The sequence below is a fragment of the Homo sapiens genome, chromosome 1, assembly GCF_000001405.40.
Source record: "Homo sapiens chromosome 1, GRCh38.p14 Primary Assembly".
Lineage (NCBI taxonomy): Eukaryota > Metazoa > Chordata > Mammalia > Primates > Hominidae > Homo > Homo sapiens.
The window spans coordinates 18,560,705-18,577,020 of record NC_000001.11 but is presented as its reverse complement, the minus strand read 5'-3'; the positions used below and the strand labels follow the sequence as shown (position 1 = coordinate 18,577,020).

Sequence of the window (16,316 nt, the reverse complement as noted above, 5' to 3'; positions counted from 1 at the left end):
TTGTCCTTGTCCAGGCCTTCTCAGAAAGACAAGTGGGGGCAATGGATCAGGGACAACTTTCTGAGGCCGGTGGGCTCTGGTGAGCTCAAATGTGGGGGAAGGAAGCCCCAGATGCTAAAAAGCTGACTCTGTCTTCCACATGTTCAGGGAGTTTTGCCCAGAAGTGAAGACGGGGTGGAAACTCACTCGTCTGTGCTGGTCCTTGTGGGGGAGGGCTGAAGGGAGGGCTGAAGAGAGAGCGAAGAGAGCTTTCTACATTTCATCTCCACTGCTGAGGGTCCTGCCCGCTTTGGAAGGCACCACTTTCCTGGGCCCAGAGAGGCTCAGCTAGTTTTCTGTGGTCACAAAGCATAATGTTGGTGATGATGGTGATGATGATTATGGTGGTGATGGTGGCGATGAGAGTGTTGATGATGATGGCAGTGGTGGTGACAGTGATGACCTGGTGAAAATGACCTGTTTGTTTACTGTGTGCTTATTATGTGGATCTTTTTCTTTTTTGTGAGATAGGGGCTTGCTCTGTCACCCAGGCTGGAGCACAGCAGGGCATTCACAGCTCACTTGCAGCCTCAACTTCCTGGGCTCAAGTGATCCTCCCACCTCAGCCTCCTGAGTAGCTGGGACTACAGGTGTGCACCACCATACCCAGCTATTTTTTTAAAAATTTTTTTATAGAGATAGAGTCTCACTATGTTGCCCAGGCGGGTCTCAAACTCCTGGGTTCAGGTGATCCGCCTGTCTTGGCCTCCCAAAGTGCTGGGATTACAGGCGTGAGCCACCACACCTGGGCTTGAGGCAGGTCTCCTAAGGCCCAGCCTTAAAACTCACACAGCACCACTCCTGCTGCATTCTACTTGTCAAACAAAACCAAGGGTAGGCCAGATTCGGGGGTGGGGGGGGAGGCGCGGAAATAGACGGCACCTTGGTGTGGGAGGACAGCTGAGGATAATTTCTTGCCTTTTACCGTCCACCATAGCCGGGACTGGAGCCTCAGTCTGAGTCCAAAGACCCCCAGAGGTGTGCTCCTGACCCCACACTGACTGGCTTCCACTTTCTCCCCAGCGTCTCTTTCAGGTTTGTGTTTGTGGGGAGGAGTTAGGGGAGGAGGCCAAGCTTGTTTCTGTGGCCTCTCACCTCGGCTTCCCGCTCCCTCATTCCTGCATATTTTTGTCGTACTCCAGGGCTCAGCCCCTGGACCAGCTGTCAGCTCAGTCAGGGACCTGGTGCTGGAAGAACAACACAGATGGCCACTGGGGGCCAGCAGAGTCAAGGCCTGGGCGAATCCGTCCCAAGGAGCTGGGTCCCTGGTTGGGCTGGGGGCTGCCCTAGGCAAGACGGAGCTGGGGGTCGGGTTGGCCAGATGTCACTCACTCCCAACCCCTTCATCCAGAGCTTGGTGCTGTTTTTACCCTCTTATGCAGTGAGTCCGTGGGGGCGAGGGGACTTGAGTGCCAGTCTTGTCTCTGTGTGACCTTGGGTAAGTCACCCTCCCGTGCCTCCTGGGGCTCAGTTTCCCCATTTGCACAGGGAGCTGGTGGATTGGTTAGTTTCTGGGGAGGCAAGGCTGCCTGGTGCCTCCCGACTTCTAGTCCTCTGTTCTGTCTGTGGGACCTGCAGGCTCCTTTTCATGAGCAGAAAGGGCTCCGTGGCTTAAAATGAGGTTCCCCCTTGACAGCCCCTGCTGGGCCCGGGTAGCCCTGCTCTGGAGGACAGAGCCCCTCCTGAGCCAGCTGGGCTGCGAAAACCTGTGTGCTCCCCTGGTAGGACGAGAGGTCCTGGATTTAAGCAGAGGCTTCTCTCTTCTCTCCTTCCCTCTACCCAGGAGACCCCTCCAGCTCCTAGAGGAGATCCCAGGTCTCAGCTGCTGCCCACCTGGTGAGGCCTCAGAACCGATGAGGGGACATGGGCAGGGAGGGACTGAGCCAACAACACCCTCATCCTGGCTTCGGTTTTCAATTTTTTCTTTTTTAAGAGACGGATCTTGCTCTGTTGCCCAGGCTGGAGTGCAGTGGCACAATCATGGCTCACTGCAGCCTCCAACTCCTGGACTCAAGTGATCCTCACACCTTAGCCTCCTGAGTAGCTGGGACTATAGGCATATGCCACCACGCTCAGCTAATTTTTAAAATTTTTGGTAGAGACAGGGTCTCACTGTGTTGCCCAGTCTGGTCTCCAACTCTTGGCCTCAAGCAATCCTCCTGCCTCTGCCCTCCAAAGCACTGAGGTTACAGGTGTGCACCACTGCACACGGCCAGAATTTTTTTTTTTTTTTTTTTTAAGTAACAAAAACAAGATGGGATTGTGGGCAGGGCGATTTGACCCAGCTTAATAGGCTTGGGAACTTGTTCTGGCTGCCAGGGTGGGTTCCAGGCCCTGCGGCTCCCTGAGGCTCCCCACAACTCTGTCCTGTTACACTTGTCACATGGCCTTGTGGTCTGGGAGTGTTCTGCAGTAGTGTCTGAATCCACTCTGTGTCCCCGGGCCCCAGTTTGGCTCCTTTCGGGCAGCTCAGTAGTGGTGACTAGCATTCACATATGTGCCCAGCACCACGGTAGGTCCTTCTTGACCCCTTCTCCTTGGAGAAACTCCATGGGGGAGATGCCTTTACTGTCCCCATTTGCAGATGGGTAAACTGAGGCCCAGAGGCCTAGACACATTGCAGAGAGTCATGCTCTTAGTAGGTGGCAGAGACAGGATTGGAACCCAGGTCCACACTGCTAATCACTTTACTGCTTCCCAGTGAGCAGAAATTGAGTCAATGAATGGCTTCCCTAGACCCGGGTCTCAGAGTCTTGCCAAGGCTGGACTCAGGGCAGTGGTGGTGGAGAGTCCTGGCCCAAGTGGGACCTGGGTCGAAGTAGTGGTTTTGTCAGCTGCCATTCAACATCTCTGTTGGACACCGAGCTCAGGGGGCAGGGTGGACACCCATCGTATTTCTTGCTGCATCTTTGTGCCTGCTGGATGAGCAAGCCCAGTGAGAGTTTGTTGACTGACCATATGATTGACTGAGTGAGACCAGAGTGGCCCTGTCACCTCTCTGGGATTTTGGTGCTGGCTGTTCATGGTGGCTCTGGACCCAGAGCCTCTTCGAAACATTAAAACCCTCTTTCATGATTGATTGTTCAATTGACTAGTTGATTTATTCATTTATTCAACAAATATTTATTGAGTGCCTCCTCTGTGCGGGGAATATGCAGCAAACTAAAGAGACAAGGTCCCTGCCCTTGAGGCTCACACCTTAAGGGAGGGAGACAAAGAAAGAAACAAACAGATCATCGTGGATTGCAGGAGACGTGAACAGAGGGATGAGATAAGGAGCCACTGGGGCGGCGGCTACTCTTAGGGGTGCACTATGAGCTGAGACCTCAAATTATGACACTGCTGAACAAAGGCCAGAGGCTTTGGGCTTCAGGTAGAGGGAACGGTTGGTGCAAACATCCTGAGGCAGCAATAGCTTGGTGTGTTGGAAACAGAGGAAGGAGGCCCGTGTGGCTGAGATGGAATGAGGAGACGTGGTGGGGGTCTCCCAGGGGACAGATAAGGGTGGCTTGACTAGGGTGGGGGCTGAAGAAATAGAGAGATGTGACAGACATGAGCCACCATGCCCGGTGGCTCATGCAAGAAATACAGAGGAAGTGAAACCACACATTTGCGGGCACAGTCTCTCCCTGCTGCAGGGCTTCCCAAAGAGGAAGACATGAGGGAGGGCTCCCTGGAAGAGGAGGGCTTCCTCTAGGCTGGAAGGACTGGGGGGTCTTGGAGCACAGCGGGAGCAGAGAGGCAATCCTTGGAACAACATGGGTGTGTGTGGGTGAGGAGGACGAGGAAATACAGGGATGAGCGAGGCGGAACTGTGCAGAGGTTTAAATGGGCATTGATGCCAGCCACACTTGCCAGCTCTGTAGCCTTAGGCGAGTTAGCTGACCTTGCTGAGCCTCAGTTTTCTCATCTGCAAAATGAAGCATGCAGATCCCTCTTGCAAAGGGTGTGTCAGGACTGAATGAGATTATATGCATAAAGCCGGGTACAGGGGTTGAGAACTCCGATCCTCCTCATCATGGTGGGGTCCTTGTTTCAGCTCCATTCCATTCCAGTCCTCAACAGTGTGCCTTGGTTTCTCTGCAGAATGGGGAGGGTAGGGCCTGAGCCCACTGGACAGTGAGCACCCCTCCAAAGACCTTAGATGATGGAGTGGCTGGGGTCAGGACCAGTGTTGTAACTGCTCCCCCTGTCTCTTCTGGGTGTTCTCCTATTCCCACTCCAGCTGCCACCTGGAGGGACCAGTTTGCAGCAGAGCTTCCGACAGTGTCACTCAGAGAATCCTCCCAGAGGCCAGGACATTGTGTAAGCCAGCCAGTGATATTTGCATTGTCATTTGCATTTCATTTGCATGCACCAGTTTAGACTGCACTGTCCCTTCTAAAGCAGGGTTCCCAAGAGGCAGCCTGCATGGAGAATAATACAAGGCTTGCAGTTCCCAGGTCCTGGGTTCGTATGCTCTTCCCTTGAGCTTTGGTCCCCTCACCTATAAATGGGAATAACCTGGCCTCCTTCACAGAGGCCCTCTCTTGTTCAGCAAATATTGATTGAGTTTCTGCCATGAGGTAGGTGGGGATGAGTGACCTGGGGACCCACTGTGACAGGGCAGGCCCTGGGCCCTGCCCTCATGGAGCTTACCTGCAGTGGGAAGACAAAAAATAAGTCGACTAATTTCTACGTAAGAGAACCACGGCTTACAAGGTGTGCAGGAAGGAAAGAAGCAGAGCGTGATGAATGAGTGAGCAAGTCTGACCTCAGCCACACACGCTCCTGATTCCTCTGTCCCCAGAGCAGGTGGGCAGCAGGTGGCTGGGCTCACTGACCTGGCAACCAACAAGGAGCTGATCCCTGTCCACTGTGTCCTGCCAGAGGCATCGAGGTGGGATGAACAGCTCAGTCCCTGTCTCTGCGGTCTTGAGATATCTGCCCTCCAGACCTGGGCCAGAAGTAAGGGTGGTCAGTCTGAGCAGCAGGGCAGGACTTGACTCAAGGATGTGGATGGGCGACGCAAGACACTTGCAGGCTCTATCAGCCAGCGGGAGCGATTTGCCGGAACCCTTGTCTTTCAAGGTTCAGAGAGAAATAAAAATGGAGGACGGGATGGTGGGGGAGTTTTCCTCTTGCTCCCTTCCTCATGCCAGTGGCTGGGGTCGCAGAAGCCCTCATCCGTCATCTTGCCACCCTAGCAGGTGCAGGTTGTGGAAGTGATAGGAGGGCCAGGTCCCACTGTGACCAGAGGTGGGCTGGGGGTGTCTGCGGGGCTTAAGGGGAGGGATGAGAGAGCACACAGCACTGACCTTTAAGCGTCTGTCAGCTTCTCCCCACCTGTGCCTCACAGCCACTCCCAGGCACCCGCGGCCTCTCGCCGGCATTCACTCACCCGTTCATTCATTATCAGTGGCACAAAGAACTCATCAGCTATTTATTTATTTATGACATGGGGACAGTGTTGTAGGGTGTGTCTCGCTATGTTGCCCAGATTGGTTTCGAACTCCTGGACTCAAGGGATCCTCCCTCTTGGTCTCCTGAATAGCTGGGACTGCAGTCATGTGCCACCACGGCCCCTGCATTTGTTAAACAGGGGTCCAATCAGTGCCTATCTCTCCATTTGAATGGATCACGGGGTTGTTGAGAATGCAAAACCAGTGAGTGAGTTACACACAAAGTCACTTGCTACGGGGTCTGGGGGCTCCAGGAAGTTTTAGAAAATTTGCTCCTCCTCATCCCTGATTCCCATCCCTCCTAGACAACCATTTGAATGTCTAAGATTTATCCTTTTGTGGGTCCACGTTCTTGCCAAAGGCAGGCTGCTATTTCTCATGTACATACTTTTTTTGTTTTTTTCTTTTAGTTTTTGTCTTTTTAATTTTATGTTTTAATGGTTGAAATAAAATAATGGTCCATATTCATGGGGTCCAAAGTGATGTTTCAATACCTATAATGCACAGTGAACAGATCAGGGTAATTAGCATATCCAGTATCTCAAACATTACACTGTGTAATCGTTTTGGTACACATTTTATTGAAGAATAACATACAGACAGAAAGGTGTACAGGTCCCCCAAATACAACTTGAGGACTTTTTCCAGAGTGGACTCAGCCCCCAGCTTGTGACCAGCACCCAGTAACCTGGCCATGCCTCATTCTGGTATATTACGTGTGTTTTTATTTTATTTTTTTTTGAGACAAGGTCTCACTTTCTCAACTGGAGTGCAGTGGCACAATCACAGCTCACTGCAGCCTCAACCTCCCAGGCTCAAGCAATTCTCCCACCTCAGCTTACACAGTAGCTGGGACTACAGGCATGTGCCACCATGCCCAGCTAAGTTTTGCATTTTTTGGTAGAGACGGGGTTTTCTCATGTTGCCCAGGCTGGTCTCGAACTCCTGAGCTCAAGCAATCCATCTACCTTGGCCTCCCAAAGTGCTGGGATTACAGGCATGAGCCACTGCACCCAGCCAACATGTATGTTTAATGTCCCAGCCGTGGCTGAGTTAAGGCTCCTGTTCTGTTCCTCACCTTGGTCTCCATGTACTACGTTTTCAGGTACATCTGGGTTGCTGTTCAGAAGACACATATCACCTGCCGTGGAGTCCTTGGCTTGCCCTGTGTCTGCCATATGCCACCTCCCCACTCCCTCTAGGCCGGCTTTGGCACCTTGACCAGGCCAGGCCTGGTCGGTGCCGGTGCTCTTGCCTGTGCCGTCCCCCAGCCTCATGATGGTTCACCCCTTTTCTCGAACCACCTCCTTTCCCCAGTCTTCCTGGTGCCAACCTGCTCCTCATCATCTCGTTGTTTCTTTTCTTAATAGCACTTATTCTACTCTGAATTCCCTTGATTAGCAATCTACCTCTCTCATTATTGTCTGTCCCCTTCACCTGGAGGTAAGGGCAAGGCTGCGGCTTCCGTCTTCACTGCTGCATCCCCAATGCCCAGGAGAGGGCCTGCGCCTGGTAGAAGCTCTGTAAATATTTGCTAAGTGAAAGACCCACGCGCAGCAAGCTGCCCTCAGCTGCATGCTCCAGTCCACATTGCTGCCGATGCGGTTCTCAGTGGGTCTTTTTCTTTATATAGCTCACAGGCTCCCCAAGGCCTGAGCCAGGGACATCGCCAGCTCCTGCTCCATCCCCAGATCGGCGGACCTGCCTCACAGGTGTTTCACTAACCTTGTTCTGAACCAGACATGCCAGAGAGAAATGCATTTTAAAACCATGTGCAATTTAAAGAGAATTTAATCTGCATGTCTGGGATTCATTAACACGTAGATCATCAAATTAGGGTTTGCTCACAGCTGTTTGACATTCGAAGGGCCTTCTGAGTATCTTTAATAAGTGCCTTTAAATATTATTTTTCCTTTTAATCTCAGGGCTGGGTGTTGAGCATGCTGTTCTTGGAATGGGAACGTGACACAAGTGACCTGGGGATGGTGGATCCATTCCTGCAAGAGTGTGGCAGGCTTGGAGAGCTTGGCACGGAGCCATCCCCACTCTCCTGCCCTGTCCCCGTCATTGGCAGGCACCGGCCCCAAGCTGGCCAGAGCCGTGTGTTCAAAATGGCTGTTGAGAGAGGCAGTGCTCTTCTCCCAGGCACATGAGCCCGGGAGGATGCAGGCCTGGAACATCTTGTCAGCATATGGAGCCTGAGAATGAGCCCAAATAGGAAAGCAAAGTTCGGGAGGTGTAGAGATGCTGGTGACATTGACGATGGCTGGACCTAGCCATGACTGGATTAGCCTTGTTAGGAGATAAATTGTGTCCTACCCCCTCCAACTTCTTATGTTGAAGCCCTAACCCCCAGAATCTCAGAATGTGACTTTATTTAGATATAGGCTCATTTGCAGATGTAATTCGTTAAGATGAGGTCATATTGGAATGGGCGGGCCCCTAATTCAATATGACATGTGTCCTTATAAAAGGGGGACATTCGGACGCACAGACATACATAGGGGGAAGATGACGTGAAGAAAGATGATGGATGACTACAAGCCAAGGAGAGAGGCCTGGAACAGATCCCTCTCTCACAGCCCGCAGAGGGAACCAACCCTGTTGACACCTTGACCTTGGCCTGCTACCCTCCAGAACTGTGAGACAATAACTATCTGTTCTTTATGCCCCTAGTCCATAGTTGTTTGTTATAGCAGTTCTAGGAAACCAATACAAACCCTCTTTGAACTTTTTAGTTATGAGAACCAATATATCCCCTCCTCTCTCCATCCCTCCCTCTCTCGTTCGCTCCCTTCCTCCCTTCCCTCCTTCTCTCCTTCTTTTCCTCCCTTCCTTCCCTCCCTCCTTCCTTCTTTCCTTTCTTTCTTTCTTCCTTCCTTCCTCCTTCCATCCTTCTTTCTTTACTTCTTTCTTTCCCTCCTTCCCTCCCTTCTTCTTCTTTCCTTTCTTTTCCCTCAAGCCAATTTATGTTGTGTCTTTTATTATATACAAGGGCAAAACTCTTACTCAAAATCACTCTCCTGCTTAAAATCTTTTTTATGAACCATCTCAGAGTTAGTGGCATAAAACAAAATGATAATTTATTTCACTCAAAAGAGGCAATTTAGGCAGGATGTTGTGGGATGGCCTGTTTCTGCTCAATTGGCGTTGGTGGGGAGCTCAACTGGGGCTGCAGAACCCACGTCCAAGATGGATCACTCCCATGGCTATCAGGCTGTTTCTGGCTGTGGGCTGGGGGCTCAGCCAGGGCAATGGATTTCTCTTATATCAGCCCCTCCACAGGCTGCTTGAGCTTCCTTATAGTATGGTGGCCAGATCCAAGAGCAACTGTCCCCTGAGAGCACGGTGAAGTATGTGACATTTTTTATCACCTGTTCAACTCACATAGCATTCCACTCACTATGCTCTATTAGATGAGGGGATAAATGTCCACACAGATTAAAGGGGAGGGGACACAGAACTCAGTTCTCTATGGGAGGAGTATCAACACCACATTGCAAAAAGAGTATGGGGAATGGGAGATACTGTTGAAGCCAGCTGTGGAAAATGCCATCTGCCATAGGCCACATGCTGTGTGGTTTCATGCAGATGAAAGTCAATAAGAGGCATTCCTAATGGATGGCGAGAGAAGTCAGAATCGCGTTACCTTTAGAGGAAGGTAGCTTTGACTAGAAAGAAACACAAAGAGATCTTCTGGGGTGCAGGACATGATCTCTGCCTTGATATGGGTGGAAAGGACACAGATGTGGATATGTCAGAAGTTGAACTGGTCACTTAAGTTCAGTACCCTTGATGCATTTTATACCTCAATTTAGGAAATTTTAAAGGCTGTAATGAAGAGTATCTGAATTAGCACAGAGGGTAAAAGTCCTCTGCCAGCTCCCAATTGTCCAAGATGCTTGGCCTGGCACAGGGAGGCCCTGGAGACCCAGCCCCCAGTGTCCCCTTGGGATTGAGTTCTGTCTCCCCTTCCCCCAACTGTTGCAGATTCTTGAATGTCTCCAGCTGTATGAAGGATGCTGGGAGAGTGCTCCAGAAGGCATGAACGCCAAGTGCAAAGACCTTGTGTGAGGAAAGGGTGGAGGGTCAGGAGCAGGAGAAAGAGGCAAGGGTCATGGAGTGGCTCCACACCAGGGTGTGGCGTCACCTGGCTGGTCTGTTCGAAACATCCTAAGCCCAGAGCTGCCGTTTCTGGCTGGGTGACTGTGGGCAAGTCTCTGCTTCCTCATCTGTGGGATAGGTCATGACAGTCCTGGCCTTGCATGGTCAATGAGAGGAGTCAGGGATGCCATGACCATGAAGGTCCTGGCCCACCCCTGAAATTGCTCAATGCAGCTTTCCCTTCACCCCTCATGGATCCCTAAGTCCTGGCAGGCAAGGCCTCCTGTCTCTGGGACATCCTTCCTGTTCTTACCGGGACCTCTGCCCTTTCTGGGCCACGCTTGCTCCCTCTGTCAGACTTCTGGAGCCTGTTGGGTGAAAGATAGATGGAGCCATTCATCTGTGCAGTCTAAAGGTTAATTCAAAGGGCAGCCATGGGCTGGAGATGGTGCCTTCCACCTGGCTCCAGTTCACAGACCAGGAAGCGGGGCAGGTGGGGTCATCAGCCAGAAGCTTTTCCCCCGTGTAAACTGCCATGCGGTAAACTGCAATCCCTCAGGTGGGCTCCCTGGCCCCTTCCCACCCAGCCTCATCTCCTGTGACTTCGTTTCCATCCTGTCCATGTTATCAGTGCCCTGCCTGGTCTTGGGCAAGTTTCTCCCCTCCTTGAACCTCTATTTTCCCATCTTGTATTGGGACCATGAGACCAGGCCATGCCAGCAACCCTTCTGTCCCAGACATTCTAAGACTGCGCCTCTCCATTCAGCGGCCAGGTGCACCTGCTACCCACCTAGCACCTTGCTCTGCCTGGCTTTCCCCTGTTCACCTCACCTGGGCCACCCACCTTCACCATCTACATCCTTTCTTTTCTTCAAGACCCTGTAGGAAAGTGTCAGAGGCATTTCCCCGATTCACCCCAAACTGGTCCAGGTTGGTTCTCTACCCTGTAGTTCCCAGTGGCTGTGGCCTTAGTCTGTGTGAGATTCATCCGCACATTTTTTGGGCCAATCTGGAAGTATCTGGAATTCTTGTCTCTTTTTGCCTCTCTCGTCTCAACTGAAGGATTCCCAAGGGCAGAGCTGGGTCCCCATCATCAGACTGACATGTCCCTTAGGGCAAGAGCTGAGTCTTCCCTCTTCGAATAGGTTCCTATCCACTACCCAGAAGACTTCAGAGGCTGGGCTGAATCCTGCCTGCAAAATGTGTTTGCCTCACTCAGTAATTTTTCTTTTTCAATGTTGAATTAGTTGTCGACTCTTAAAATTAAGTGATTTAACATACAACTCTATATTTGTATCTTAGAAATATTATAAGGGCTGGCTGTATCAGGCTTGTATTTCCTGCAGTAATGATGGGCAGGAGCTGATAGGAGGTGCTCCTGTGGATGGGGTGGATAGAATCCAGTTTGCCCCAGACCTCACTGGGCCCCACACTCTCCCAATACCTCATCAGTCCTGTAGGCATTTGGGTTTGCAGTCCTGGCCTTGGGGCCCGAGGTACTGTCTGCCTTCAGTAGCTGTCAGCCTGCAGTGGCAGGGGCAGGAGAGCAATTCCAGAGAGGAATGCGAGAATGAAGGCTTCTCTTCTCTTCTCTGCCTCATTAGGATCGGAATGGGCTGGAGATCAATGCTTTTAAAAATCAGATACATACTGACACTGTTTCTCGCACTGAGAACAGTCTGTACTGACACAGAATGATTCTCTAATCAAAGGCTTGCCTTTGGGAAAATTACATGAAGAAGTGCTGGAGGGAGAGGCATTTTCACTCAGTTATTATTTATAGGGGGCCTACTATGTGCTAAGCATTGAGCCAGATGCTTTAGAGACAGCATTGAACAATGCCCAGCCACGGTGCTCATACAGCTCATGGTCATATTTCATTTAGGCAGAAGAGGCCCAGAGAGGGCAAGCAGAGTAACCAAGATCACACAGCAGAGGTGGAAAGAAAACTCGCACTGCTTCCCAAGCCTCCTGCTTCTTCCCTCTCTCAGCCACATCAGTGTCCCTCCTAGCCCCCTCTGCCAGAGTCCCAGCACACTGGCTCCCTTCTTCAACTCCTCTCCAAATTGTGTTGCAGCATCCTTGCATTCAGCTGGTCACTAGAAAATGGGGCTCATCCAGTGGGGTTGGGGTCTGCTCAGAACAAAAAAAACTGGCCCTTCTCTGGCTGTTTTCCATGAGCCCAGGATGCCCTGCCTAACTATGAAGGCTGATTTCAATATTGGTTTGGAATTTAGCAGCGTTCCAGGCAGATCACCCCAAGTGGGATGTTCTACAGCCAGGTAGCTGCTCAGTGGCTTTTTAAAAGAGACAGGCTTGGAGCAGAGTCCCGAACTGTTAGCACCTCCCCTTCCCCTGTAAATACAGGTTGAGTGCCACACTGGTTGCCTCTGGGGCTAAGCTGGGCTTTATTTTCAAGCCAGACTCTTGTGTTTGAAAAGGAAGGGCTTAAATTCCATTCTACAGCTGGCTGCTCTGCAGATGTGCGAGAAACAGCCAGCTCTCCCGACACAGCCTGCATGGTTCAGTCCAGAGATGGTTCTTTGAGGAACTGGCCAGCTGGGCTGGGTTTCAGCAGTCAGATACTTTGCAAATAACCAGCAGCGAAACTCAACCAACTCCCCCAAAAGCCATTGGTTGAACCCAAGCCCCTGGGTATATTGAAACCAGACAGACAGACTTTGGCCAACAGCTGCTGGGTTTCAAGTGGGCTGACTGTAATTGGCTCAGAATCAGTGGTTTGCCAAACTAAAATAATCAATGGTGACAGCTACCATTTATTGAGCATCTGCTATGGGCCAGGCATTTTTGTGCGTTGCAGTTTTGCAAGGTTGCCATTAACATCCCCACTTTACTGAGGATGAAGTTAGGCTTCGAGAGGTGAGTTCTCCTGTCTGAGGTCACACAGCTGGCTTCCTGGCCAGTGGACAGCCTGAATTTGATTCCCAATCTCTCTCATGCCCAAAGCTCATACTTTTTATTTTTATTTTTTTTTTTGAGATGGAGTCTCATTCTGTCACCCAGACTGGAATGCAGTGGCACTATCTTGGCTCACCGCAACCTCTGCCTCCCAGGTTCAAGTGATTCTCCTGCCTCTGCCTCCCGAATAGCTGGGATTACAGGCATGCACCATCATGCCTGGCTAATTTTCATATTTTTAGCAGAGATGCGGTTTCACCGTGTTGGCCAGGCTGGTCTTGAACTCCTGAGCTGAAGTGATCTGCCCACCTTGGCCTCCCAAAGTGCTGGGATTACAGGTGTGAACCACTGCTCCCAGCCTCATGCTTTTGATTTCTCCCTGCATCTGCAAACTAGTTTCCTGTAGGGTCTGAGGTGAAATGGGCTTGAGAGCCCCCCGCCCTTGCTCTCCTCTCTGGTGGATGCTCAGGAGGCCAAGCTGAGGCTCTGCGCACCAAGCTTACCTGTTTCTGCCTCCCCTTGGCATCCTGCCCCAGATCTCTGCACAGCCCCAAATGTCCCCAACACGGTGAAGGGATGCTAAGCTGCCCTAGGCTCAGGGCAAGCCTGTTGATAGAGGGCAGCAGCAGCAAAACCATTTCCAATCAAGGCTTTCAAAAGACTAGGATAGACTCCTTCTGTTTCACAGCCTTGGTCCAAAAGCCCCGAGGCTGAGTCCTGGAGGAAATGTCTCAGTCCGGAAGGTCCTGTTAGCCTAGTGAATAAAGGATGAAAATTTAACAATGGTTACCCCAGTAACTGACTTGGATAGGACCCCTCCTATGCATCAGAGATCTTACAAGTGTTATTGCTGTGGTGTAGTGGGTGAGAACATGCACCCACTCTGGGTGAGCCAGATTACCTGGGTTCAAATCCCGATTTGCCATTTGCCAGCTGTGTGCCTTGGGCAAGTCACTTCATCTTCCTGAGCCTCAGTTTTCTCCTCTGTAAAATGGGCAGAATAATAGGACCTGCTTCACAGTATCCTTGTAGTAAGAAATGAGCTGGTACACAAAGTTCATGGCACAGAAGCTGGCAAGTAGCCTAGTGCTCTAAAATGGGCAGAATTTTATTTATTTATTTATTTATTTTTTGAGACAGAGTCTCTCTGTCTTCCAGGTTGGAGTGTAGTTGCACAATCTCAGCTCATTGCAACCTCCGCCTCCTGGGTTCAAGCGAGTCTCCTGCCTCAGCCTCCTGAGTGGCCAGCACTACAGGTGTATATGCCACCACGTCCAGCTCATTTTTGTATTTTTAGTAAATTTAGCAGCATTCCAGGCAGCAACATGGTTTCACCATGTTGGTCAGGCTGGTCTCAAACTCCTGAACTCAAGTGATCCACCCACCGCAGCCTTCCAAAGTGCTGGAATTACAGGTGTGAGCCACCACGCCTGGCCTGATGTCATCATTTTTAATGGTTATGTCTTTTAATCCACATGAGAACCCTGTGAGGCAGGTGTTAGTATCCTCATTTTACTGATGAAGAGACTGAGATTCAGAGATGTTGAATAACTTGCCTAAAGTCACACAGCTGGTAGGTCACAGAGCTAGAGTTTGAACCTGTACTTGTTCCTTAACGCCAGTTACTAAGGTAAGATCCCCAAGAGCTGATTTCTGTGAAGGGCAGGGTTGTAATCTCTTCTCTCCAGAGCTGGATCCACCTACAAGCAGCTTTCTTCAGCTGGAAGGGTTTTTTTTTTTTTGTTTTTATTCAGTTGATTTAAAAATATTTTTAGGACCAGGCATGGTGGCTCATATCCCTGTAATCCCAGCACTTTGGGAGACCAAGACAGGAGGATTGCTTGAGCTGAGGAGTTTGAGAGCAGCCTGGGCAACATAGTGAGACGTTGTCTCCATTAAGACTCAAAAAATCTTAGCCAGGTGGGGTGGTACATGCCTGTAATCCTAGCTACTCGGGAGGCTGAGGCGAGATGATTGTTTGAACCCAGGGAGCTTGAGGCTGCAGTGGGCCCTGATCGTGCCACTGCACTCCAGCTGGGGCAATAGAGTGAGAACCTGTCTTAAAAAAATGTTTTTAGGCTAAATATACAGAAGAGAAACTGAGGCCCAGAAAGGAAGTGGCCCTGCCCACAGACACCCAGCACACTTAGAACCAGAGCCCCAGCCAGTGCCTGGCTCTGCCTCCGTCCTGCTGGAAAGGCTCCCTTTGGCCCCTCCCCTTAGGGAGTTTGCTGGATGGACTGGAGGGGCTGGGTGAACAGGAAAATGATGATGGATTCTCCTAGAGACCGGTGCTGGTCATGGCTCCGTTGATTGATGGCCGAGGGGTGTCACTCCCCCAGCCAGACTCAGCATGGCCCCGGGGCTGGGAATCTGTCAGCTGGCGCATCCTCACTCTGACTGGGGGACATGGGGAGGGGTGCGTACCAGGAAAGGAGCAGCTTCCCCTAGGGAGAGTCCATTTCTGCAGGCGGAGACCTCTGGAGATCCAGTGAGGTCACACAGATGCCCAGGGCCGACCTGCAGTGGGAATGTGCTGTGGGGGCTAGTGCAGGCCTGAGAGGCTCCCAGGAAGCCCTGCTGGGGGCTCTGCGCTGGGCTGTGCCCTCCTGTGGTCCCCTCAGCAACCCTGGAGGTGAGGCTGTCAATGCCCTCACATTCCCAGCAAGGGAACCGAGGTTCAGAGAAGGCTAGCCATCTGCTTGGGACCACACAGCTAGTTAAGTGGTGGAGTAGTTCCTGGAGCCCGGGTGTCCCTGTCTCCTCTTTGACTCTCAGTCCCGGGTGCTTTCTAACGATTACACACACAGGGACACACACATTTATAACTCGTCTACTAGGTATAATCCTATGAAAGTGCCTTTTTTTGGTAGACTAAAAACAGTAGAAGAACTGCAATTTCATGAGGTTCAGTCAAATGTAAATTATATTTAGGTATATATATATATATATATATTTATGTTTGTCAATTTATTAAAGAAATGTAACTTATGTACCTTGCATATGTAATCTGTCTCATATATGTGCATTGTATATACAATCTATCTGAGGTATATCCAATTACCAATCTGTTACAGCATATCTAACCAGCATGTGCTGCTACATCAGCCCTTGGAAAAAATATAGCCCTGATTGTAGCATCTGCCCATTTCTCTGGTGTAAATGTTCCCATCAAGGCTGATTTCAGGCAACCCATATGATGTTACAGAACAGAGTCGGGAAGAGATGCCCGGGATTGACTCACCGGCTGATGTGAATGGGGGCTCCAGTCCACCCTTGAATTTTTTCATCTACCTCAAACATATAATCTGTGTATCTCAAAAATCTGTCAATCTATCTGACATATAAGCATAGTCATACATATATATAATTTACTCCCCTCTTTCTGATAGATCTCTGATAGTTATCACATCTGTCATCATGTGGAGCTCTCTACTTGGAATCCACTCATTCGTCCATCCACCTATCCATCTGTTCCGTGTGTTTGTTTACTAAACTCCAGGTCTGTCTCATTCTTTTCCCTGTGGTGTTTCACTGTTTCCTGCTCTGTATGGAGGCGAGGTAGGGCTGCTGGGCTGGTGTGTGGTTGGGTGCAGTGCCTGACTTTTCTCATCCAGGGCATCTGCATGGTTCCTCTCCGAGCAGGGCCCCCTGCCGGCCTTACAACCACAGGTTCAGAGGTGAGGTTTGGTGAGGTTGTGCTGAGCTGACACCACTTGGTCTTGGCCAATAGAAGTTAATTTTATCCTCCCATGGCTTGTCCTGATGTAGGATCAGAGCCTTCAAACAGGCAGTACAGGCTTCACTGGGGTA

The 16,316-nt window shown here is 50.7% G+C and overlaps 3 annotated features.

Moving 5' to 3' along the window:
* Positions 713–1,290: an enhancer, noted in NCBI's record as "H3K4me1 hESC enhancer chr1:18902225-18902802 (GRCh37/hg19 assembly coordinates)". NCBI's record gives its function as "activates a minimal SCP1, AML or CMV promoter by ChIP-STARR-seq in naive H9 embryonic stem cells {active_cell/tissue: H9 hESC(naive)}" and the evidence as "EXISTENCE:reporter gene assay evidence [ECO:0000049][PMID:30033119]".
* Positions 1,291–1,869: an enhancer, noted in NCBI's record as "H3K4me1 hESC enhancer chr1:18901646-18902224 (GRCh37/hg19 assembly coordinates)". NCBI's record gives its function as "activates a minimal SCP1, AML or CMV promoter by ChIP-STARR-seq in naive H9 embryonic stem cells {active_cell/tissue: H9 hESC(naive)}" and the evidence as "EXISTENCE:reporter gene assay evidence [ECO:0000049][PMID:30033119]".
* Positions 4,645–5,144: an enhancer, noted in NCBI's record as "H3K4me1 hESC enhancer chr1:18898371-18898870 (GRCh37/hg19 assembly coordinates)". NCBI's record gives its function as "activates a minimal SCP1, AML or CMV promoter by ChIP-STARR-seq in primed H9 embryonic stem cells {active_cell/tissue: H9 hESC(primed)}" and the evidence as "EXISTENCE:reporter gene assay evidence [ECO:0000049][PMID:30033119]".